This window comes from Homo sapiens, chromosome 1 (assembly GCF_000001405.40).
Source record: "Homo sapiens chromosome 1, GRCh38.p14 Primary Assembly".
Taxonomy (NCBI): Eukaryota; Metazoa; Chordata; class Mammalia; order Primates; family Hominidae; genus Homo; species Homo sapiens.
The window spans coordinates 246,060,874-246,085,204 of record NC_000001.11 but is presented as its reverse complement, the minus strand read 5'-3'; the positions used below and the strand labels follow the sequence as shown (position 1 = coordinate 246,085,204).

General features: G+C 40.3%; 1 protein-coding gene across 14 annotated transcripts in view, besides 2 other annotated features; it reads left to right on the top strand.

Annotated features, from left to right (window-relative positions):
• The window catches only part of SMYD3 (SET and MYND domain containing 3), a 757,933-nt gene that overhangs the window by 422,075 nt on the left and 311,527 nt on the right, over positions 1 to 24,331 (top strand). The window lies entirely within an intron of this gene.
• Positions 19,138 to 19,674: an enhancer, noted in NCBI's record as "NANOG hESC enhancer chr1:246228833-246229369 (GRCh37/hg19 assembly coordinates)". NCBI's record gives its function as "activates a minimal SCP1, AML or CMV promoter by ChIP-STARR-seq in primed H9 embryonic stem cells {active_cell/tissue: H9 hESC(primed)}" and the evidence as "EXISTENCE:reporter gene assay evidence [ECO:0000049][PMID:30033119]".
• Positions 21,186 to 21,712: an enhancer, noted in NCBI's record as "H3K27ac-H3K4me1 hESC enhancer chr1:246226795-246227321 (GRCh37/hg19 assembly coordinates)". NCBI's record gives its function as "activates a minimal SCP1, AML or CMV promoter by ChIP-STARR-seq in primed H9 embryonic stem cells {active_cell/tissue: H9 hESC(primed)}" and the evidence as "EXISTENCE:reporter gene assay evidence [ECO:0000049][PMID:30033119]".

The window sequence follows — 24,331 nt, the reverse complement described above, 5'->3', positions numbered from 1 at the left end:
GAAACTAACCCAGATACACATAAATCACACTGGAAATACTTCTATATTGAAGTGTTTAAAATTTACTATAGATAGTGTAACACTTTCTTTGCTGGAGATAAAATTTATGTTGTTAAAAGAGAAAATGCAATATTCTTTAGGATGTACAGCTTTAAAGCTGCATTAGGAGTAAAACACAGGAGGTACATGCAGCATTTAGTGATCATTTCTGCTCTTTTCTGTAGTCTTCTAGGTACTCTAATCACAAAATGTTAATGCGCATCTTTAGGGGTAAAATAATGTGCTCTAAAGAATATGGTAGTCACTGATAATTTGTAATTATTTACTAGATTTTTTGTTACTAAATAATTCAATGGTATGACTATAGTATCAGTAATCAGCCTGCTGAAGAATGAATAATGCAATCAATTTACATTCTTTTGTTGCCATTGATAGACCAGTAACAGCTTACCTTTCCTATATTCTGTAGGCATCTAAGAAGAAAATATACCAAAACTTTAAGATATCAAAATATATTTTTCAGAGGTAAAACAATGACCCTCGTAAATACATAGTAAGTGCGTGTCATAAATTTATTTGCCTGATGAATGAGGGAATCAACATAATGGTGATGCTGATTCCCAGAAAATTCCACAGATAAATTATATATAGGCACTGATAGAATGCTAGAATAAGATTGTAAGATCAGTAAATTGGGCTGGGTGCAGTGGCCTGTAACCCTAGCAGTTTGAGAGGCTGAGACAAGAGGATCACTTGAACCCAGGAGTTGAAGACCAGCCTGGGCAACATGTCAAAACTCCATCTCTACAAAAAATACAAAAAATAGCTGGGCATGATGGTGCATGCCTGTAGTCCCAGCTACTTGGGAGGCTGAGGTGGAAGGATCGTTTGAGCCCAGAATGTTGAGACTGCAGTGGGCTGTGATCATGCCACTGCACTGTAGCCTCAGCCTGGGTGACAGAGTGAGCTCTTGTCTCCAGAAAAGAAAAAAGAAAAAAAAAAAAAAAAAGGAATTGTCAGTTGGTTAATGTCTTACAGGGCAATAAAACTGTTGTCTTTGGGGCTATCTTTCTATCACACAAAAATCATTTACATCCTTTTGGACAAAAATCTGCAAGTTAATATGTTACTTAGCAGTCCTTATGCTGATAGATAATAAGTAGTAAGCCAAACAATACTACAGTATTAAAAAAAAATCCTTGGGTGGGCCTGTTTAGACTGTGGTCCAATATTTAAAAGAATATAAAGGTAACCTTTTGACATATTTTCAAATTTTTCATAATTTTTACTAATAAAGTCTTTCATTTCGTTTGGTTTCGGTTTATAATGAGTTATATGATTCTTGAGCAAATACAAATTGTGACCTTTATGTGTGTATTGTGTGGGTTTTTTGTTTGTTTGGACCAGAATCCCCCTTACTTGGGACTCAGTAAGGGAAAGGGCTCATAGTTTTGACTTACCTGAATTGTAGGTGAGATTAGCTGTGTTATTGTTTAGGAACTTTTATTCTGTGTGAAGGGAACTGTAGTCACCCAACTGGCTCTTCCTGTCTGCTGCACAGACAAAACTGAAGGGGTGGCCTGCCCCTCCACACTTGTGGGCGTTTCTTGTTGGGTGGAACGAGAGACTTGAGAAAAGAAAGATACACAGAGACAAAGTATAGAGAAGGAAAAGTGGGCGCAGGGGACCCGCGCCGGCACCAGCCTCTGAGTTCCCTCAGTATTTATCGATCATTATCGGGCATTTCTGGGAGAGCGGGATGTGGCAGGACAATAGGGTAATAGTGGGGAGAGGGTCTGCAGGAAAACATGTGAACAAATGTCTCTGCATCATAAACAAGTTAGAGAAAAAAGTGCTGTGCTTTTGATGTGCATATACATAAACATCTCAATGCCTTAAAGAGCAGTATTGCTGCCCGCATGTCCCACCTCCAGCCCTAAGGCGGTTTTCCCCTGTCTCAGTAGATGGAATATACAATCGGGTTTTACACGGAGACATTCCATTGCCCAGGGACGAGCAGGAGACAGATGCCTTCCTCTTATCTCAACTGCAAAGAGGCATTCCTTCCTCTTTTACTAATCCTCCTCAGCACAGACCCTTTACGGGTGTCGGGCTGGGGGACGGTCAGGTCTTTCCCTTCCCAGGAGGCCATATTTCAGACTGTCACATGGGGAGAAACCTTGGACAATACCTGGCTTTCGTAGGCAGAGGTCCCTGCAGCCTTCCGCAGTGTTTGTGCCCCTGGGTACTTGAGATTAGGGAGTGGTGATGACTCTTAAGGAGCATGCTGCCTTCAAGCATCTGTTTAACAAAGCACATCTTGCACCGCCCTTAATCCATTTAACCCTGAGTTGACACAGCACATGTTTCAGGGAGCACAGGGTTGGGGGTAAGGTCACAGATTAACAGCATCCCAAGGCAGAAGAATTTTTCTTAGTACAGAACAAAATGGAGTCTCTTATGTCTACTTCTCTCTACATAGACACAGTAACAGTCTGATCTCTCTTTCTTTTCCCCACACAAAACCATTTCGCCAAGCCCACGATATTGCAGTAAAGAAAGAGTTTAATTAATGCAGAGCTAGCCAAGTGGAAAGACTGGAGTTATTACTCAAACCAGTCTCACCAAGAACTCAGAAGCTGGGGTTTTTATGGACAGTTTGGCGGGCAAGGGGCTAGGGAATGTGTGCTGCTGATTGGTTGTGGATAAAATCATAGGAGGGTAGGAAACGGTCCTGCTATGCTGAGTATGCCTCTGGGCGGGGGCCATGGGACCAACTGAGTCATAAGTCACAGGTCCAGGGGGGTGAGTTGGTTGCCAGCATGCTAACGTCTGAAAAACGTTTCGAAAGACCAATCTTAGGTACTACAATAGTAATGTTATCTGTAGGAGCAATTGAGGAAGTCACAAATCTTGTGACCTCTGGCCACATGACTCCTGAGCAGTAAGGGATTATAGAAACTACGCCTACATTTTAACAAATTGCAGGCCCCTCCCATAACCCTAATCTTATGGCCTTTCATTAGTTTTACAAAAGCGGCTCTGGTCCCTGAGCAAAGAGGGGTTTAGTTTTAGGGAGGGACTATGACCATCCTTCCTGTCTCCCATGGTTAGCTTGGCCTGTGCCTAGGAATGAGCAAGGGCAGCCAGCCTGTGAGACTAGAAGCAAGATAAAGTTAGTCACGCCAGATTCCTCTCACCGTCATGATCTTGGCAAACGTGGTTTCAGAACTCCTCAAATATCCAGGAGCTCGATTTGGCCTTTAGGCTAACTTGAAAGAAATAAATACTTCTATTTTAAATTCTTTCTTTAAAAAAGTTTTTTTGTAGAGATGAGGTCTTGGAGTGTTAATCCAGGCCTCAAGCAATCATTCTCCCTTGGCATCCCAAAGTGCCAGGATTACAGGTATGAGCTACATTGCTCAGGTTATTTTAAATTTTTTCTAGCAGGAGGAGAGATGTATTCAATCCTGAGCTGGTACACTAGTAATTAAAAAAAATAGAAGCTAGGGGCTGGGTGCAGTGGCTCATGCCTGTAATCCCAGCACTTTCAGAGGCCAAGGCAGGCAGGTCACTTGAGGGCAGGAGTTTGAGACCAGCCTGGCCAACATGGCGAAACTTTGTCTCTACTAAAAATGCAACAAATTAGCCAGGTGACATGGTGCAGGCCTGTAGTGTCAGCTGCTCAGGAGGCTGAGGCATGAGAATTGCTTGAGCTTGGGAGGCAGGGGTTGTGGTGAGCAAAGATCACACCACTGCACTCCAGTATGGGTGACAGAGTGAGACTCTGTCTCAAAAAAAAGAAAAAAAGAAAAACTAGAAACAAACAACAACAAAAAGTCTTCCGTTTCTATATTTGAGCAGTCTCACAGTTTGTAAACACAAGCACAGAGTCTCCTTTTGAAGCTTCTATTTAGATACCACAGAGTGAAAACAGGATGCCTGCTTAAACACAGAGAAGTCTTTCAGCTCTTAGGTTTTAGGTTTTGACTTAGGGATTTAGATTTTGACTTTAGATTTTGAAGGTAACCACACTCTTCCCAGAGCGAATCAATGGACGCTATGTAAATCTTTCCTTCCTCAACGCTAAGGTCATAGGAGTTAAATTTGTCTCACATTTTCCTTTCAGTGGGTTGCATTGTTTGATAGTTTATGATAATCAAACAAAGTGGTAACTTATCTGTATTGGTGATGGACTTCTTTCAGAAGGGCTTTGCTTTTGATTACACACACTAATTATCCTTATGAAAATATACATGCATTCCATAAACGAGCTGTTTTGTTATCCAAGCCTTGATTCTTTCGTCCATTCTTAGCTACTGTTGACTACCTAGTGTTGTTAACCATTGTTGTAGATATTGGGGAGACAGCAGTTAACAACACAGATAAAAAATTTCTGCCTTTATAGAGTTCGCATTCTAGAGGGGGGAGATAGATAATACACTAAGATAAATCAAATATTAAGCTTTTCTGTGTATTTTATATCAAAAAGGTATACTGAACTTGGACACTAAGGTGTAGTAAGGATTTCCTCCTTTGTATGGTAAAAGAAGAGTCCTTGGTAATCTTTCTTTTTACAATAATAATAGTTCTTTTTTCTCCTAGAGTCTCCCGTTTTCTTAAAGAACTTTACCCACACAAGCAAGGTTGCCCTAGGACAGTGGTTCCCAACCTTTCTGGCACCAGGAACCAGTTTCGTGGAAGACAGTTTTTCATGGATGGGGCGGTGAGGAGGGGATGGATGGTTTTAGGATGAAACTGTTCCACCTCAGATCATCAGGCATTAGTTAGAGTCTCATAAGGAGCACACAACCTAGATCCCTCACATGCCCAGTTCACAATAGGGTTCACGCCCTCATGAGAATCGAATGCTGCCACTTTTCTGAGCTCCAGTGGTCATGCCTGCTCACCCTCCATGAGAATCCAGTGCTGCCACTGCTCTGAGCTCCGGTGGTCATGCCTGCTCACCCGCCACTCGCCTCCTGCCGTGTGACCCAGTTCCTAACAGGCCATGGACCAGTACCAGTCCGCAGCCCTGGGGACCCCTGCCCTAGGAGACTGACTTACGAGTTCATGAAGAAAGTAAAAAATAAATTTAGGGATCCTAAATAAAGGATATATATAGGATAAATAAAGTCGAGTTTTGGTGTAGAGCCCTGATGTTCCAAATTGTCCCAAAGGGTTGAAAAATTAAAGCCTTCTCTTCTTCACACAGATTGAAATTTTCCTTACTTAATCTTATCTGCCGTTAGGTTACCTCTCCAATTCTTTTTTCAATTATTTGGGCATTAAACTGCTCTATCGTGAGTTATTAGAGATCACTTTCTATGGCTGACAAATGTCATTTAAAATTAATACCAACATTTATGATTTCTGTGTGAAATGTTTATTCTTTCATGAGATAGGTTTCATATCCTTGTTCTCTTGTTAACATCCCCTACTTTGTTTTTAGTTGTGGGGTTTTTGTTTTATTTTGTTTTTGCATTGGAGACCACAGTTTGCAATAAGGCTATGCACTAAGCCTCATTGATTTCCTCTAAGCTCTTGTTTATTGAGCACTTCATATGTGCCTTGAATTCTGTGAGTGACAGACAGTCGGGGGATGATGATATACAAGGCGCAGTTTTTGTTTCCCATGAGTGTGAACTATGCGGAAACTTACACGAGTTTTACTTACCCATGTACAACAATTAGAGAAAAATAAAAAATACAGTGCAGTCTAGTTGGGAAGTTTGGATGGGAAACAAGTTAGACTTTAAATTTATCATATTTCTAATTCACACCACCAAGTAATAAATACATCAATCTTCATTATGTGATGGGAAAAAAGTAGAGTCAGAGTTCTTTTCAAAATTCCTTAAATTGTTCAGAAGTACAAACAATATTTTACTTTTTTGCTAGAAGCCAGAAAAATCCTTACAATCATTCAGACATTCTTTTAACGTGTATGTCCTATTTCAGACTTTATCAGCTTCATTGGGATGAAGGATTCCCAGTGAAGCTGTACATATGATGTGAATCTGCTCTGTGCCATCTAGTTCCAAAATGCGTGGTGTACTCTGGCACACCTAAGACAAAAGAAGCCTATTGGCCAGAATGATCACATTGGCTGCTCTGCCTATGGAGAAGCCATTTATTCCTTTACTTTCTTAATAAAGTTGCTTTCACTTTACTCTAAAAAAAAAAAAAGAATGATGAGAGAAGGTTTTGTAGACATCTTATTTGTTTACTGTCTATCTTCTGCTAAACTATAACCTCCATAAAAATGAGACATTCTTCTGTCTGATGATGTATCTCTGGTACCTGGAACCATGGTAGATACTTGGTGCTCAGTAAATAATTGTTTAATGACTGTTTAGAGGAAACCTATAGATCATCGTTGACTTTTCCCTCTCCCTTATCTTTACATTCAGTCAGTCAATACATCTGGTTAGTTCTGCTTCCTGTTCTCTTTTAGCTAGGTGTTTTTCTTCAGCCACACTGCCAGTCCCTTAATTGAGGCCACCATTATATGGGTCGCTGAATCAACCTCTTAATGGCTTCTGTGCTTGCAGTTGTGGAAGTACCCTTCCTTCAGTCACTTCTACAGAAAGTGAATTGAACTATTCTTCTTCGACTCTCCATTGCCTCCTAATAAAGTCTAAACTTCTTGACCTTGAAAGATGGATGGACTTCACATCCTCGCAGGAGGAGATGGTCTAGATAGGCAGAAGACGGCTGAAGAAGCAGAAGTGGAACAAGAAGGCCGGTCATTTCAAAGTTACTTTTTCATAGAAGATTAAAACAGAAGAAGCCTTCCTTATCACGGTGCCTAAAAGTGGCCTGGTTGGGGATTAGACTATTATCTCTCTCCTACTTTCTCAGGTTAAACAAGTTGGTTTCAGTTTGGAACTTTAGTCTCAATAACTCCATGTTGGCTTCGTGTCTCGGGGCCTAGTGTAGGAGCTTAGTCCAAATCAATGACCTCCCATAAATTCTATTTAATGCTTTTTCTCCTTAAGTCTTCTAAGAGTGAAACTGGGATAACAATAGCCCAATAAGGAGTGTTTGGGGCAGGGGAGAAATTTTTGAATGCTTCAGATAAAAGTTGTCTGACATTTTACAGTAAGAGCACTTATATTATTTCAAATTTTAAAAAGTGTATGTGTGTATCTGTGTGTATATCTTCTGCTTGTTTTATGAAAGGCACTTTAAAAGAGGCTGCCAACATGTACTTTACTGAATGTCAACAATAATATATTTTTATTTGAGCTAATTTTGAAAGTCTAAAGAAAGGAAGACAGATTTTGTTTTTATTTGACAAACGATTGTTTTCTTTTTAAAAATGAGAATGTCATTCATAAAACACAATTCCTTCCCTTAAAGAGTTGATAAAATAGCAGAGGTGTCAGATACATAAACAGGCAACTTGAATCCTGTGGGATGAGAACTGTCATTACAGAGAGGAAGAATCAGGACATTATGGGCACATAGAGTAGTGGCATCTACGCCAGAATGGGAAAAAGCCTGGATAATTTGCAAAGGAAATCCTGTATTAATTTTTGCCACATTAAAAAAAAATCTTTTTTTAGTCCTGTGGTGTTATTTTGCACTGTTTTATGACCTTTTCCTGGATGATAGGTATTCTGATTACAGAAAAAAAAAAGATTCCTCTTCTCTCTTTTTTTTAAATTTTAAATTATTCTTTCATGTATGTGTCATATGTAGTCTGGGAGCTTGAATTTGGTAAGGCAATCCCAGGCTTGCCATCTTGGCTTAGACAGAACAATAGCATAATCCTCACTAAGGCTTTCTAACTTGTTGTTCTCTTTACATAGTTAGCTCCCTACTCAACTGCAGTCTGCCTGAGGTTGGATTTTGTGGGATTCCTTGATGTACTATTACTTGTTTGCATGTTTTTGGCACATAATACTTCCAAAGGCTGTTTATTGTTAAATGATGAAAAATGTCACTCCACAATTTAAAAAAATCTTCTGTGAACCTCACTGCCTATCAAATGAGGCTCAAGACCTTTAGCTTGGCTTCAAGAGCCACCATAATTAGACATGCCATGTTTTCTCTCACAGCTTCCACCAGTGTAGCCTGTATGCTCCAGCCATACTGAGCCAGTCACCTTTCCCTGAATTGTCCTACACTTCCCTGGTCTCCTATTTCTGCTTCTGGTTCCCCACCCCCAGCTTACCTCTGAAAACCTCATCCTGCAAGGACAAACTTTTCCTGATTCTCCAACTGAAAAGATTGTCTCTCTCCTTTCTGCTTTCATGAAACAGTCAGCTTTGTTTTATATCTATTATGTATATATATCCTATGTATTTTACTTAAGTCTTAGACGATAAGGGGCCATCTTATTTATCTCGTCTTCTTCTATGCCTGGCAAATGATAGTATTTCAATAAATACTGTGTGACAATAAAGACATTCAATAAATACTGACTGATTGTGAAGCAAAGCATTTTTTTTCATTTTTTTTGTTCTGTTTTCTATCTCATCCAAAGGGAAGAGAATTGAATTAATCTAGAAAAAAAAAACAAAACCAGACAGAATGCTAGTGGGAGCAGTTAAAATAAATGAGCCAGAAAGAGCAAGTAAGTGACATGCCTTAGACTTATTTTTTACTATTTTGGCTATCAGCATTAGTGTACTGAAGTCATTTGTTTATGTACTAGTTGATTGACTATATAGTTAAGTCTAAGATTTTGGATTTTTTTTTAAACCCAGAGGAGTCACATTGAAACAAAATTTTATTCTGTCTTGAATAAAATGGGATATATTAGAAACACACTGAAACCTAACTCAGCACTTCTCTGTGTTGGTCTGTTGGCAGTACATTTGGATGTGGGTGAATGTGTAGACAACACTGAAGAATGCTGGCTAACTATATATAGGAAATGAAGTTCCAGCTCTGTCTTTTCTTTGAATTTCTCTTTCCTGGGTGAGAATTGTGAATGGAACAGAGAACTGAAGTAGAGACGGGTTTGGTATTTTGTCTTTTGGTGCTTTCTTTATATAGTTTCTTTTTTAATTGAATGAGGAGTAGAAAATCTGACCATTTTAGTGGACTTATGTGTTTATGTGCGTGTTTAAATCTACAGATGTATCCCTTACCATTTCTTATGCAGATGAATACATTGGCAAGAAATAGAATTTGCTGAGATTTCATAGTAGCATTTCCAAAACTATTTTCCATGAAAAAAATTTTTATTGTATATTATCTTTCGGTTCTTTTGCCAAAGTTCTTTTGGCTGAGCTTTTTTTTTTTTTTTTCTTGCTATATGTCTCTGTGTTCTTTTTCAATGGTTTCTCTAGGATTATAAAACAGATAATTAAATTTTCACAGTCTAAAGTTAACATTGTCCCATTTCATGTAAAATATGAACTCCTCAGTCTTACAGATGTCATATATATTATATTTGCATATTTTAAAGCTCCCTCAATACAACATTTTACTTCTTTAAGTAGCCATATATATTTTGAAGAAATTCAGAGAAAGAGTCTTTTATACTTCCCTACGTATTTACCATTTCCAGCACCCTTCATTCTTTCATGAAATTTCAGCCTTCCATCTAGTCTCATTGTCCTGCAGCCTGAAGGACTTCCTTTAGCACCTCCGGTAGTACAGGTCTGCTGGTAATAAATTATTTTAGTTTTCTTTTATATGAAAATGTCTTTATTTTGCCTTTATTCTTGCAGACAATTTTTTGCTGGATAGAGGATTCTAGATTGGCAGCTTCTCTTCTCCTTCTCTTTCAGCACATTTCTGTTTCTTATTGCTGTTGTAAGAAAGTACCACAAACTTAGTGGCATAAGAAAATGGAAAATTCCTTTTGTCTTCACAGGCAACAATATCATGCTGAGTTCTTACCATGTAAGACTGAGTTCTTATCACTGCCGTCTCTCTGGTTCTTTTATTTGTGTCTTTCTCTTCCTCTTCCATTTTTATTGGATTATTTTTCATTCATTTCACATTTTATTCATATCACATTTTTAAGATTCTTTGTTGATATTTCCTATTTGTTCATTACAAGCATATTTTCCTGTCTTTTCTTGGGCATAGTAATGAAAGCTGACTATAAACATTCTTACCTAGTTTTTGAGGCAGTTGGGCCATTTTGGGTTGGTTTTCATTGATTGAATTTTTTTTTCTTGAGAATGGGTCACCCTGTCCTCTTCCCTCATATGTCTAGTAATTTTGGGTTTTATTCAGAACATTTTTAATATGTTATAGGTTTCTGGATTCTCTTATATTCCTCTGAAGTGTGTGTGTGTGTGTGTGTGTGTGTGTGTGTGTGTGTATTGCTTTAGCATGCTATTATATTGGCAGATGTGTGCTCCAACTTTGTTACCCCTGTGAAGGGCAGCAACTGAAATCACTTTTCAGTTCTTTTAGACTTTTCCGGACTGCTGGGCCTCTCCTCAATGCATGTGGATAGTAGGGGTCACCCAGAGATTCAGGCATTTTATGCACTAGACTCTGGCCCTCACTGGGATTTTTTTCCTGTCACTTTCCTTTTGTTTCTTTAAGAAGCTGCAGATTTCTATCCAACTTGCAGTTGCCCCAGCTGGCACAGCCAGAAAATTTCTGGCTTCAATTTAAAAAGCTTTATAAACAAGAAACTCATCTAGTGTTTTTCATTTATTTTCAAGTGTTAACTCCCTTCCAGTTTCTGTCTGCTTTTGGCCACTCTCTAGTACCTTCAGTTAGTTTTTTTAAATGTCGAATCCAGAGCTTATAGTTGTTATATTTGGTATGTTATATATGGGAGGAGCTGCCTTATTATTACCAGAAGTTTTATTATGGTTGTTGCTTCTAGTGTATGTTCACAGTTTGTTTTTTTTTTTTAATTTTTTTTGGCAAACCAATAAAAAAGGAAGATAATTTTTTTTTATTTGCAAAACATGCTTTACTAGGAATTAGCCTAAGGATTCTCAAAAGTACTGGTCAAAGTCAATGCTTTGGAGCTGCAGACTGCTTATTAATTTAGTTTGATCTTATCTAGATATCCTTCTGGTGCTACTGACCTGGGCCAGGGGTGTCTAATCTTTTGGCTTCCCTGGGCCACACTGGAAGGAGACAAATTGTCTTGAGCCATACATAAAATACACTAACATGAATGATAGCTGATGAGCTAAAAGAACAAAAATCACACAAAAAAACTTATGTTTTAAGAAAGTTTGCAAGTTTGCGTTTGGCCACATTCAAAGCCATGCTGGGCCACAGGTTGGACAAGCTTGACCTAGGCCGAGACCAATTTGCCATCTATTACACTTGATTTCTTCTTAGGAAATTGTGCCTGACACATGGGCATATGGTTGCGCCAGAATGGAGTCATACGGAACTTCTGTAGTATCTGGCGTTGTGCTTTCCAGTACCTCTATGGAGGTTTGGACCATAATCTTGAGAGACACTATCTTGAATGCCATAATTCCAAATGTTGAAATTTTGAAAGATTAAAATCCCTAAAGTCTAGTTTTATTTATTTATTTATTTTGAGACAGAGTCTTGCCCTGTCACCTAGGCTGGAGTACCGTGGCGTGATCTTGGCTTGCTGCAACCTCTGCCTCCGGGTCTCCAGCAATCTTTCCACCTCAGCCTCCCGAGTAGCTGGGGCTGCAGGTAGGAGCCATCATGCCCGGCTAATTTTTGTATTTTTTGTAGAGATCGGGTTTTGCCATGTTGCCCAGGCTGGTCTTGAACTCCTGGGCTCAAGCGATCTGCCCGCCTTGGCCTCCCAAAGTGCTGAGATTATAGGTGTGATTCACTAGCTCCAGCCTAAAATCCCTAAATTCTAAAATCCCCAAATCACAATTCTGAGAGACCAAAATTTCAAAAATATAATTGTGGAATAAAGTTTTAAAAATATTTAAAATACATTTGTTACAATTTTAAAAGAAGACTTTAGAGACATATAAATACATGACTGAACACATTATAGGCCACTTTACACAGTAAAATAGGCAACAATACCATACATGTTCTCTTTGCAAGCATCAACACACAGATATACTAATGGGAGTCACTCAGCTATTATAGCTATGAACAGACAAACTGTATTTATAAAGAAATAGGTCAGAAAGTGAAATGTGTGAACGCTTATTACTATGGTTGGAAATTGTATGCATCCATCGTTGTAACTGCAGTCATCAAAAATACCCTGACAGACATGTTTTGATGAGATGGATCAAAAACCTCTGGTCACTGCCACAAATACAGTCACTCAAAGAGCCAAGGTCTCAAGAAATTTTATCTTTCACAAATGGAGACACAGAAAAAAGGCAGTTCTTCATTTATGGAAGAAGTTTCAGTGTTTTTATGTACATGCACCATGCTTATACACAAAGCAGCATTGTGATAATGCGTGTACTTGGAATAATGTTTCTTACGTCCAAGGCAGAAGAAAAGTCTGTCTCATCTCTCAGAGAGAAAGCAGTTTACCATCTGTGTTTGTTCCCTCTGGACCCAAGGCTGATTGGATGGTGCCCGCCAACATTTTAGGCAGATCTCCACCTACTCCATTCAGAGTCATGTACTAATCTCCTCTGGAAACACCCTTACAGACATATCTGAAATAATGCTTTACCAAGTTACTAGATAACTCTTTAATCCAGTCAAGCTGACACCGAAAATTAAGTCTACAAGTCTACCCCTTGTGAATCTGGCACCTGTACACATCTTAAACCATAGCTAATTTCCAGATGAAGACAACCACAAGATAAGAGTCCTGTCTAACATGATAGAACTAACACGATTCATCCACACTGAGCACAGCGGAAAGCACACGAATCCCTCCCCAGAACTAACAGGATGCAGCCACAGTGAGCACAGTGGAAGGCACACGAATCCCTCCCCAGAACTAACACGATGCAGCGACAGTGAGCACAGTGGAAAGCACACGAATCCCTCCCCAGAACTAACACGATGCATCCACAGTGAGCACAGTGGAAAGCACACGAATCCCTCCCCAGAACTAACAGGAAGCATCCACAGTGAGCACAGTGGAAAGCACATGAATCCCTCCCCCGAACTAACAGGATGCAAAGACAGTGAGCACAGTGGAAAGCACACGAATCCCTCCCCAGAACTAACACGATGCATCCACAGTGAGCACAGCGGAAAGCACACGAATCCCTCCCCAGAACTACACGATGCATCCACAGTGAGCACAGCGGAAAGCACACGAATCCCTCCCCAGAACTACACGATGCATCCACAGTGAGCACAGTGGAAAGCACACGAATCCCTCCCCAGAACTAACAGGAAGCATCCACAGTGAGCACAGTGGAAAGCACACGAATCCCTCCCCAGAACTAACACGATGCAGCGACAGTGAGCACAGCGGAAAGCACACGAATCCCTCCCCAGAACTAACAGGAAGCATCCACAGTGAGCACAGTGGAAAGCACACGAATCCCTCCCCAGAACTACAGGATGCAGCGACAGTGAGCACAGCGGAAAGCACTCGAATCCCTCCCCAGAACTTGGCTTTCAGGATTGCAGCATTTGGGGTTTCAGTGTTTGGGGATTATGATTTTCAGGATTTTCGATTTCAGAGATTTCGACTTCAGGCTAATTTTTACTCTCAGGCCTTTTTTGTTTTTAAAGGCCTGTATACCAATATTTTCAGGGATGATGGCATTCAGGATTGTGTCCTTTGGGATTATAATGGCACCACCCCTAGGTACTAGGCTCTTCCCATACTCAGTAATCACTACTTGTGATTATAGTGGGGATAAATAAGTCTGAAATTTTGAAATATTTTAATTGCACAAATAATGTATAAATGCAATAACTTTATTTTAAATAATTTAAAACATTTTATAACAAAGGCAAAATTCCCCTTCATCATTGTCCTTAATCCCTGTTTTCTCCCACCGTCCTACCCTCCTTCCTAGAAGTAGCCACTGCTGGCATTTTGGCACCTCACCTTCAGCATTACACATCCCCACTCCCACAATTTTTTTTTACAGACACACACAAAAAATTGTTTTGTGTTGTTTTGATAAGCAGCACCATATTGTATATATATCTGCAACATCCTTATTTTTACTTACTTACACATCTTAGATATCTATGTTTATTACATATGGATTTACTGTATTTGACATTCTATACTCCAGTGCTTCTGCTGATAGAATTAATTTATCCTATTGTAATCTTCTTAGGAAACCCTTCAACAAGTATTTCTGATCGAACCAGTAAAGCCTCATTGTTTTGGAGCCTACTTACTTGAAATCTGTAATAATTATGCCTAGAATAGAATTAAAATTTATGGTTGCCAATTAATGACTTAAAAGAATATTTGTCCCCACTAAGAGATAAATAGCTTTTAAATACCAGTTTAAAACATACCAATTACACATAAATTTTTATCTGTGTTTCATTATCTAACAAGGCAGTGGCTTGTTCTGCTGACCCTTAAGCATTTGCAGGCGATAAAAGGTGCATGCCATTAAAACCATCCTCCAGTAGGACTGGGCACTAATTAGGACTTTGCTTAGGTGAACGTAAACACAATGGCTCCCTCTCCACTTTATCTCGCCATTCACTTTGTTCTGTTGCTTTTTGATCAGGGTTCTGACAGATCCTCAGGTCGGTGCTTCACCTCTTCGTGAGGAGGACTCCTCTTGGGGCCCATCTCTGGGTACTTTGGGGAAGTGAATACAGGAAGATTATCTTATGGTGTTGTAGTACCCTGAAGCTTTTCATCATTTTGGATGTCACTTTAAAAAGACAAAATGGAAATGAATAAAAGCTAATAACTAAAAGCGCATTATTTTGAGATGGATACGTGTATAAAGTCTCTTACAGATTGCTGCAGAAATGCCCAGATGTATTTCTGGCTAAAACACCAAGAGAGTATATTTGGACCTAATCGATATTAGATACCACTTTCTCTTTCTCCTTTGAGAATTAAACTCACTTGTGGCATTTTCCTCATCATCCATAAAAGTAAGATGAATGTTATCAGTTCAGCCCTCAGGATGGAGGTCCCGGGAAATGAAAAGAAGGACCAGAGACTGCTGTTGCCGTAGGTTTAGAAATTGCCAGTTCCCACCTCACTAGTTTTCGGTGTGTCTCTTGGTAGTCTTTGACTCTCTAAGTTCCTGTGCCTCTCACCCTTCAAGATAGTCTAGGACGGGCAGGGCAACCATCTCTCAAAGCATGGATCCACTCTCTGAACACAGATTTAGGCCTAAGAAGTGGCCAGCACCTCCACAAGCCTGCCTCATTGACGGGGAGAGGGAAGGGGGCAATTGAGATTCACTTCCCCCCAAACTAAGGCTCCACGTAGGAGGGATGTGGGGGAGATGATGGTATCTGGGGCAGTCCAATAGCTCACTGTCCATCTAAGCATTCCTGGGAAGAATGACAACAGTCTCATTCGTCCTGCCCACCACCAACCCCAAATGGAATAAATGGAATTCAGCCTTCGCAGGCAGCTGGAGGAGTGAGCCTGCTGCTGCCTCTGCCTCAGGATTCTTCAGAGGAAGCCACAAAGGGTTTGGATGGGGGTGAACTTCAAAGTGGCATGATGAAAAGCTCGAGGTGATGTCTTCCGGGATTTAGCAATGCCATCTTTCTGTTTTATGTTGGCTTTCTTTCTTGATTTGGGATTGTGTTTATCAGTTCGGCTTATTAATATTAAGTAATTACAAACAATCATACATGCATTTAGGAACTTATGTTTAATCTCTGGCAACAGCATAGTTTATTGGCAAAAACAAATGCACATACACTGTAGGTTAGTGATGAACATCAGCAGACAGGCCTGCTCTTGAGATTTTTGTCTAACTGAGGAGCGTCATTACCATGGCAGTATTGTTCTGTTTTATGTGAAATGTGTTGGATATTTATGTTGAGTTTAAGATATCTGGCACGAAGCTTTCCTCACACAGAAGAAAATTTTCACAACTTTTGCAGATTCTCAGTTTGTTTTCTTTTATTACAAATTAAAACATTTTGATTTAGATTTTCTGTTTCACAATTTTCATTTTTATGGTAGAACATGATAAGGCAGCTACAAGGTCATGACTAAGAATACAGAGTCCAGAAGCAGACAGGCTGTGTGACTGGGGGCGGTTATCTCTGTGCTCCAGCTACAGCATCTCAAAATTGGAGAGAATCTAAATGATGTTCTATGTAGTTGGTCGCCTTTGTCATGTTATATTTTCAGATGAGAGCCACCTTGTTTTCTGCACAGACATATCCTAGTCAGTGATTCTTCTCCTTCCCATGTTGGTTTTTGATGGTTTCATTTTTGAAAAGGGAGACCAGCTTTTCATTCGCTTTTTCAGCAGAAGCATAAGGTAAGACATAAGGGGTAAGGTAAGGCATAAGTTGGAGGTATGACTGGTAATTCTGGATTGATGGCTTTGCAAAAGGATGGCTGTTATGCCTGCGGAACTGGCTCCCCTCCAAGAACCATTCACACTGACTTCATATTAAGGAGGTTCTTTGATTTGTTACTAATAAGAGTAGTATTTTTTATTGTGGTTTTTATTAGTGTAACAATAACAAATGCTTCTGTAGTTCATTATTATGAACAGTAAACTCATGTACCTGATTATGCTTTTTGTCGAGATGAGGAAACTGTGGTAGGGGTTTGACTGGTAGCAGGTTGCAGGCACCCTGCGCTCCGTCTCTATGTTCTTGTTCTTCCCTCAGCCTTTCTGCCCCCTCCCAGTCATAGCCTCCCTCCTGAGCTCTGCATCCATCAGCAAAGACTTTAACCATTTAGGTTTAGATCATCATTACTTCTGACTATTCGTTTTTGATTGTGTTGTCAGAAGACTTTTTGTTATAAAGAAGAGAATTATAAAACATAGATTTGAAGCAAGCATAGCATATTTGTACCCTTTTAACAGAGGTGGCAGTGAAATGACAGCTTTTTGCTGCGTGGGTGTTCTTTTTTTTTTTTTTTTGCTGACCTGTAGTTTGATTTCCAGTGTCTAGACTTAACAGTCTGAATTTAAACACGAGGCATATACACAAAATCATCTGGAACTGATTTTTTCACACTAAACACTTCTTTCTGATCCTACTTTCCAGGAGGCTCCTTCCTCCAAACATACCTCCAGATGAAAATCACTTAATTAACCAAGAAAGACTCAACCGCCCTTAACTGCTTTTCTAAACAGTCACACATACTGGATTTACTTATTTTGAGACATGACAAACCAGTTGCAAACCACAAATTCATTCTCATGGGCCCTCCACACGGTCTCTTGTTCCTTCTGAAGAGGGTCTTGCTGAGGACCATTTGTCCCCCTTCCTGCAGCAGCTACTCAGTCGGTGCCGGAGAGTGTGGCCTTTCGAACTATTTGCGGTTTTCCTGCCACATGATGCTGACGGACCTCAGCCTCTCCCGGCCTTGGTGCACATACAACAGCCTGTAAAAGCTCCACTTTCTATTCCAGATTGCTGTTATGCGTCTGCTTCTCATTCAAAGGAAATAAGAGGAGATGTAAATCGTCGCTGTGCAGTTACGTGTTTAATGAAAATGATCTTGCATGCTAGATTCACGTCCAGGAGCGAGTCGCCCTTACTGCTGGTATTGAACTCACTCTCCTTGGAGCGCCCCAAGGCTGTGGGCTGTGGGGGGGCATTAGTGTGTGTGGGCGCAGCTATTATTTGTACCAGGAGGCACAAGTCTGCACAGCAACCTGAAGATTTAGATTTTCAAGAAACTGCAAATCCTGACACACCTGGTGATAAAACCCAGATGCTCTCCCCAACTCATACCTTGTCCCGCAACTCCCACTCCCCACTTCCTGACTAGACTTTTTATTTTTTGGTCCAGAAGATAGGGGTAAGAGAAGAATGCTGAAGGGAGTGAGTGGATGAGAGAATGCTTGGCTTACTTGCCCATTAGATAGTTCCAGCTCCAAATACTGTTCTAATTAAGAACAAAATAAAACCATTCTCCCCCACTGGCTGTCTGGTATGTAGACAAATTTGGAAATAGGTAAACAGTTGCTGTATTAGAATTGGGTATATTTTAGCTTGATGACAATATTTACTTGATTTTATCACTGAAGAGAATCACGATCTTTGTGACATATACAGTCCTTCTTATTCTTTTAGCTCTATCTTTATTAAACTAGATTGTCATCAAATGGTGGTACGTGACTTCAAAAGGACTCTACCAGCTCTTATTCACCGGAATTTTTACTTTTATTGACTATCTAAAAGTTTACCGCTTCAAAGAAAGACTGTTCCTACTGAGATAAAGTACTGAATTCTGCCACTCTCTCCTCCTGTCCCAGACTTTAATTATAAAATCACAATCACACCAGATAGTAAGCCTTAAATATTTTAACATTTTTCCCAGTGGGAAGACAGCAACACATAAAACGACATGCAATTATATGAAAAGATTTATTTGTCCCTGACCCAGGAAGCTATGCACCAGTGCTTTCAGATAATAGTCTGCCCGGCCCACCCTGAGGGATCTAATGAATTAACATAAATACCTGTGAGTAGGTTAAGTACACACAAGGAGCAGATTACAAAAGAATGAAAACTTAAGCAATTAGCAAGGATTTTAAAACATTGATCTATCAGGTGTTCTAGAAAGTATTTGCTTCTACATTTCGAGTTTAGCTCAAATTTTACTGAGCAGCTTAAACAGCACTGTCTGCTTTTGCCTCTAGGTCACAGGTCATTGTCAAATTCATTTATAAGATAGTTTCAATCTGTACTTATTTAGCAGTGCAGAGAATTTTAGACACACTACCTTTTCACTGTTTGTAAAAAAAAATTTGAAAAATAAGAATTGTAATGTAAAAAATATTGGAAGACTAATTCTTAACCTACATGAAGAAACAGTTTTCAGCAGCTTTCTAAATGTCTTGTTTACATCCAAATTGTTGAGAAGCTCGTTGCCAATCTGTTAATTCATGAAAATTCAACCTTTTAGGATGTCCACTAAGCTGCCTTTTATTAGCCCGGTTTGAATGACTGTGTTCGTACTTGAGATGAGTTGAACTGAATTGCCTTAAAAATTCAAATCTGTAATGAATTCATAAGGAGTTTTCATCCCAAAGTTCAAATTGGTAGGGCCTAGTAATAACTTTAGACATTTATGTGGTGACGAGCTTTTAATCTTCCTTAAGGTTTTTAAAACTCTGCATGTACTGTCCTTCTTCTATGTTCTCTTGTCCTTTTAGTTGGTTTTGGTAGAAATTTTATAAGGCAAATTAATGAAAGTTATCTCCTGAGTGGCAGTTTACAACAAAAACAGATGTAAAGGAGAAAAAAATGAAATGAAAATTTGGATTAAAGAAGAAAAAAGTCTCATGTTAGTAACAGATATAACAAAAAGAGTGAACTCTACGTGGCTATAAGTTCCTTGACAGCAAGGACTTTGCCTTTCTTAGGTGGAATCTATTGACATGTAGAGAAGGAATGTTTTACTTAGGAGGTTGTCAAGGAATGTCTGTCAAGTAGGGGTAGAAGGAAGGAATTAACAGGGCTTTGAGAACATTCTCACATTTGAAGTGCTAATAATTTCTGGTGTGAATTTGGTGATAACAGTGTTTCAGTATTTAATATTAATTTGAATTTTCTGGCTGGTTATTAACTTGAGTTACGTTTATAGGTGATGAAACAAACGAAGAGGATTGCATGTTTATACACAGTAGAACTTGAGGGTTTTCTAATAAGCATACTTTAACATTGCCTCAGCCTGTAAATCTGGGATTACAAGGCAGATAAGTTTTAGGGTGATTACTTCTTTCACCCCATAATTACTTCATGGATTTGCCGTGGTGTTTCTGTAAGTAGTGAGCATCTCTAGTAAACTGACATTTTGATTCTATTTAAACAACTCATTTTACCCAGTTTTTCAGCAGCACATTGACTGGATAAAGTAAGGCGCGCATCTGTCCTCACTTTTTTGAGTCTTGCTCCTAAGTCTTGTGAAGAAAATATGGGTGCACGTATGCATTCCTTTATTTAGAGTAACTTCATTGCATGAAGTTGAGCTGAAGAACTAGGAGGAAAATAGCTCTTTTTGTAAGTTGTGCTTTAGGAGACTTTGGATTTAGCTAGGAATGGGATACTGAGAAAAACTGAGGTTTCACCTCCTCTAAACAATGGGACAGTGTTCTCATCTCTTTGGGACTATATACATATCTATTTATATCCTGCTTTAGTCCAGAAGGAATTTCAGCTTTGGAAAAAACCATGCACACACACAAAGATACAAATAAAGTGTAAGTGAAGTAATCAGAGTAAGAGGTTGGGGAAGGTAAGTCGAAACCAAAAGTGTAATTAGTATACAGATTATAGGCTCTGCAGACCTACACGGTCACAGGAAGACCACCACATATTTGGCTGTTAGCTTTTGAACAAAGCCAATGCAAAGAGGATAACATGAACGATGCACGGTTCCCAGTGTCTGTGCCAAAATCGTCTAAGTTCAGTCCGGTCTAGAAGGCCGGGGGATGGAGCTGACCTCAGGGGAACCCTGCTGAAGTTGTGACATTTATTCAGTCAAGAAGTATTTATTGGACATGAACAATTTGTCAGTGACCATGCTAGACACTGGGGATACGCAGTCCCACCTTTAAGGACACACAGTATAGGGGATAGATCAATAAAATAGACTGAAATTGCAGTGCAGTGGGATAAATGCCGTGGAGGGGAGTAGGCATGAGGTATTAGACTGGGAGACGGGGATATCTGGGGAAGATTTGTGTTGGTGCCTCAGCTGACTTCTAAAGCCTACATACTTCTTAACCCAGGCAAAAGTGGAAATGCATTCTAGGTAGAGGACAAGTAGCCAGAACAAAGTGACAAAGGTAAGAAAGTGCCATGCTTTCTGAGAACTGCATTTAATAGTTCAGTTTGACTAGAACAGAGAGTACAAAAGGGAGAAAGTGTTGAGAAATTAGAGAGAAAACTTGGGCACATCAGAAAAAGGCCCTGTTTTCCACTATGCTCGGGAGGTTGAGGGCAGTGGGCAGCCTTCCCGGCAAAGAGCCTGTGGAGAATGGATGGAAGGATAGGCAGGAGACAAGGTAGGAGTTCCGGCAGTGATGCGAGCAAGAGAGAACAGAGGCCTCCATTAAAGCCCGATAGTGAGGACAGGAAGAAGGGAGTACAGGGAAGTTACTCAGGAGCAAAATTGACAGGATTTGGCCTAGAAGAGATGAGGGACAGTGAAGAAGTAGGAATTGGGATTATTTCTTGGTTTCTGGCCTAGTCGCTGTGCAGAAAAGAGTTAACCTAGCAGGCCTAAACTGCTTATCCTTGAAAAGACCTGGGCTGGGCGTGGTGGCTTACGCCTCTAATCCCAGCACTTTGGGAGGTTGAAGCGGGTGGATCACTTGAAGTCAGGAGTTCGAGACTGGCGTAGGGAACATAGCAAAACCCTGTCTCTACTAAAAATGCAAAAATTAGCCAGGCATGGTGGCATGCGCCTGTAATCCCAGCTACTCGGGAGGCTGAGGCAGGAGAATTGCTTGAACCTGGGAGGTGGAACTTGCAGTGAGCTGATACCATACCACTGCACTCTAGTCTGGGCAGCAGAGGAAGACTGTTAAGAGAGAGAGAGAGAAAGGGAGGGAGAGAGGGAGGAAGGGAAGGAGAGGGAGGGGAGAGGAGGGGAGGGGAGGGAATGGGAGTGAGGGAGGGAAGGAAGGAAGGGAAGGAAGGGAAGGAAGGAGGAAAGGAAGGAAGGGCAGGCCCACAAGTTTGGCCCTTGGCTGACATTTAGCAACTGAGATTTCAGCAAGTGTTTCCCCCTTATCTGGTAAGAGTGGCTGACAGTGCCTAAACTGTTTGTGTCAACATTATGGTTTATGCTGATCCCCTGCTGTCCTTCCAGGAGTCCAAAATTAGAGGCTGCCTACAGGCGATTGAACTCCAATAAAGACCCTGGGTACTGAGTCTCTAATGGGTTTCCCTGACTGGGACATTTCTCACGTTATCACAGCTTTTTGTAGGAGGAGTGAAGTGCCTCCCTTGTGACTCCCTGGGGGAAGGCCCTTGGAGGCTCCCACTCTGTTTCCACAGACTTCTCCCCATGTGCCTTTCCCCTTGCTGACTTCGCTTGGTGTTGTTTCCCTGTAATAAACTGCAGCTGTGAGTACGACTGTGTGCCGAGCCCTGAGAGTCTGCCTAGTAGATAACTGAAACTGAAGGTGGTCTTGGGCTCTTCCTGATGCAGTCAGCTGTGGATGTAGTGGTACCTCTCATAGCATAAAGAACGCAAAAGTGGTAGCAGGTTTGGGAGTGGGAGCAGTGATGCATTCTGCTGTAAGTTTTCCAAGGTAGTCACTTATATTGCTTTACTAGGGTTATTTTGAGCTAGCATTTATTATTATATGTTTTCTATTTCAAAATTAAGTTACCAGGAAAATCTAATTTTTTTCAACATACCTTCGCTCATTAATTAATTCATTCAGCAAGCATTTGCTGAAACGTTATTGAACATTTGGAACTGGTTAGGCATTTTAAGTGCCATAAGGATGCTTAGGAATATGGGTCAAGTGTTCAAAGGGGTTATAAATACACTGGGTAGGTAAGACATCATCTGCCTTTGAAAAATAAAATAGCATTCATTTCAAAAATGAAATGTTAAAATATATCAATATGTAAACATTTTGTCCTTGAGAAATTAACCAAGGCATTCTTGGGTTAGTGGTCCAAATGACTAGCATTTGTAATTGGGAAAATTGTAATCCAAAACAGACACACCACATATTAGGTTCATCATCACTAGGACAATTTTTGTCCTCTTCTGGTGTCACAAGATGTTTAAAACCAAGATTCAGAGTGTTTTCAGTGATTTAGGAGTTCTGTAATTGCAGTCACTGTGGAGAGGTGCTCTAAATTCAGCACATTTTCAGTGGTACTCCTGATGGATGTTTTTTCTCGCAGAAAGGCCAAGTCATTGTCAAATGGTAGACTATAAAGATCCCCAAATCAGTGACTAACCTCTTTATGATCTCGGGGAAATATTCTGTGGATTTTTTTCTCCCCACTCAGGAACAATGAATGGTGACGATCTTTAAGTCAATGATGTGAATGAATCACATGTGGATGAACTAAGGCTCTTTCCTGATTCTCAGTCCTAATGAGCAGCTCTTCATTTAACCTGTGGGATTCGTTTGTGCTGCCCTGAAAAACTATGAAGTTTTGGCTTGAGGTTGTTGAGATCCTAAGGAAATATCAGCCAAATAAGTCATTTTATTAAGTTAGATGAAAAATCAATTCACTTCCCTTTTTCAGATTTTTATATTGTAACGTTGTGGCCTTTTTTCCCTCCATGAAGAAAAATAAGAATTCAATCTTTGGTTTAGAAACTCTGAGAAGCACCACCTCTTGATCAGGCAATGCACGTCTTTGTAATAGTGCCGGTCTATCAAGGCAGCTCTCATTTCATCACTAACGAATCAAAAGCTTCTTTCACATCACTGTTTCTGGGTTTTTGTGTATATTTTGTTAGCTTTAACTTTTAAAATTATTTTATTTTTGAGACAGGGTCTCACTCTGTCGCCCAGGCTGGGTGCAGTCATGTGATCGTGGCTCACAGCAGCCTCAGCCTCGCTCAAGCGATCCTCCCAGTTCAGCCTCCTGAGTAGCTGGAACTACAGGCATGCACTACCATGACTAGCTAATTTTTCTTTTCTTTTTTTTTTTTTAAGTAGAGATGGCGTCTTGCTGTGTTGCCCAGGCTGGTCTTGAATTGTGTTCAAGTGATCCTCCCACCTCAGCCTCCCAAAGTGCTGAGATTATAGGCACGAGTCTCTGTGCCTGGCTTTTTCTTTTTTTCTTTTACCATTTTATTGGACTTGATGTGGATTTCCCTACCACGCATTTGATCCTAAAGAAACTCTATCAGCACATTTTTTCCAGGTGATATGTGTTTGCTGAAATAGTCATATGGTACCTACCAGTCCTTACTCATATATCTTTTTGCAGTTATTTTTACAAGAATTTAAGCACTTGAGACATTTCTTTTTTGTGTGTGTGCGTGTGACGGAGTCTTGCTCTGTCACCCAGGCTGGAGTGCAGTGGTGCCATCTCGACTCACTGCAAGCTCCGCCTCCTGGGTTCATGCCGTTCTCCTGCCTCAGCCTCCCGAGTAGCTGGGATTATGGGTGCCTGCCAGCACGCCTGGCTAATTTTTGTACTTGTAGAGCTGGGGTTTCACCAGGTTGGCCAGGCTGGTCTCAAACCCCTGACCTCATGATCCGCCCGCCTCGGCCTCCCAAAGTGCTGAGATTAGAGGCGTGAGCCACCATGCCTGGCCTAAAACATTTATTTCTAATGAGAATGAATATGTGAATAAAATCAGCATTCTGTTAGGAATGAAAAGGAATAG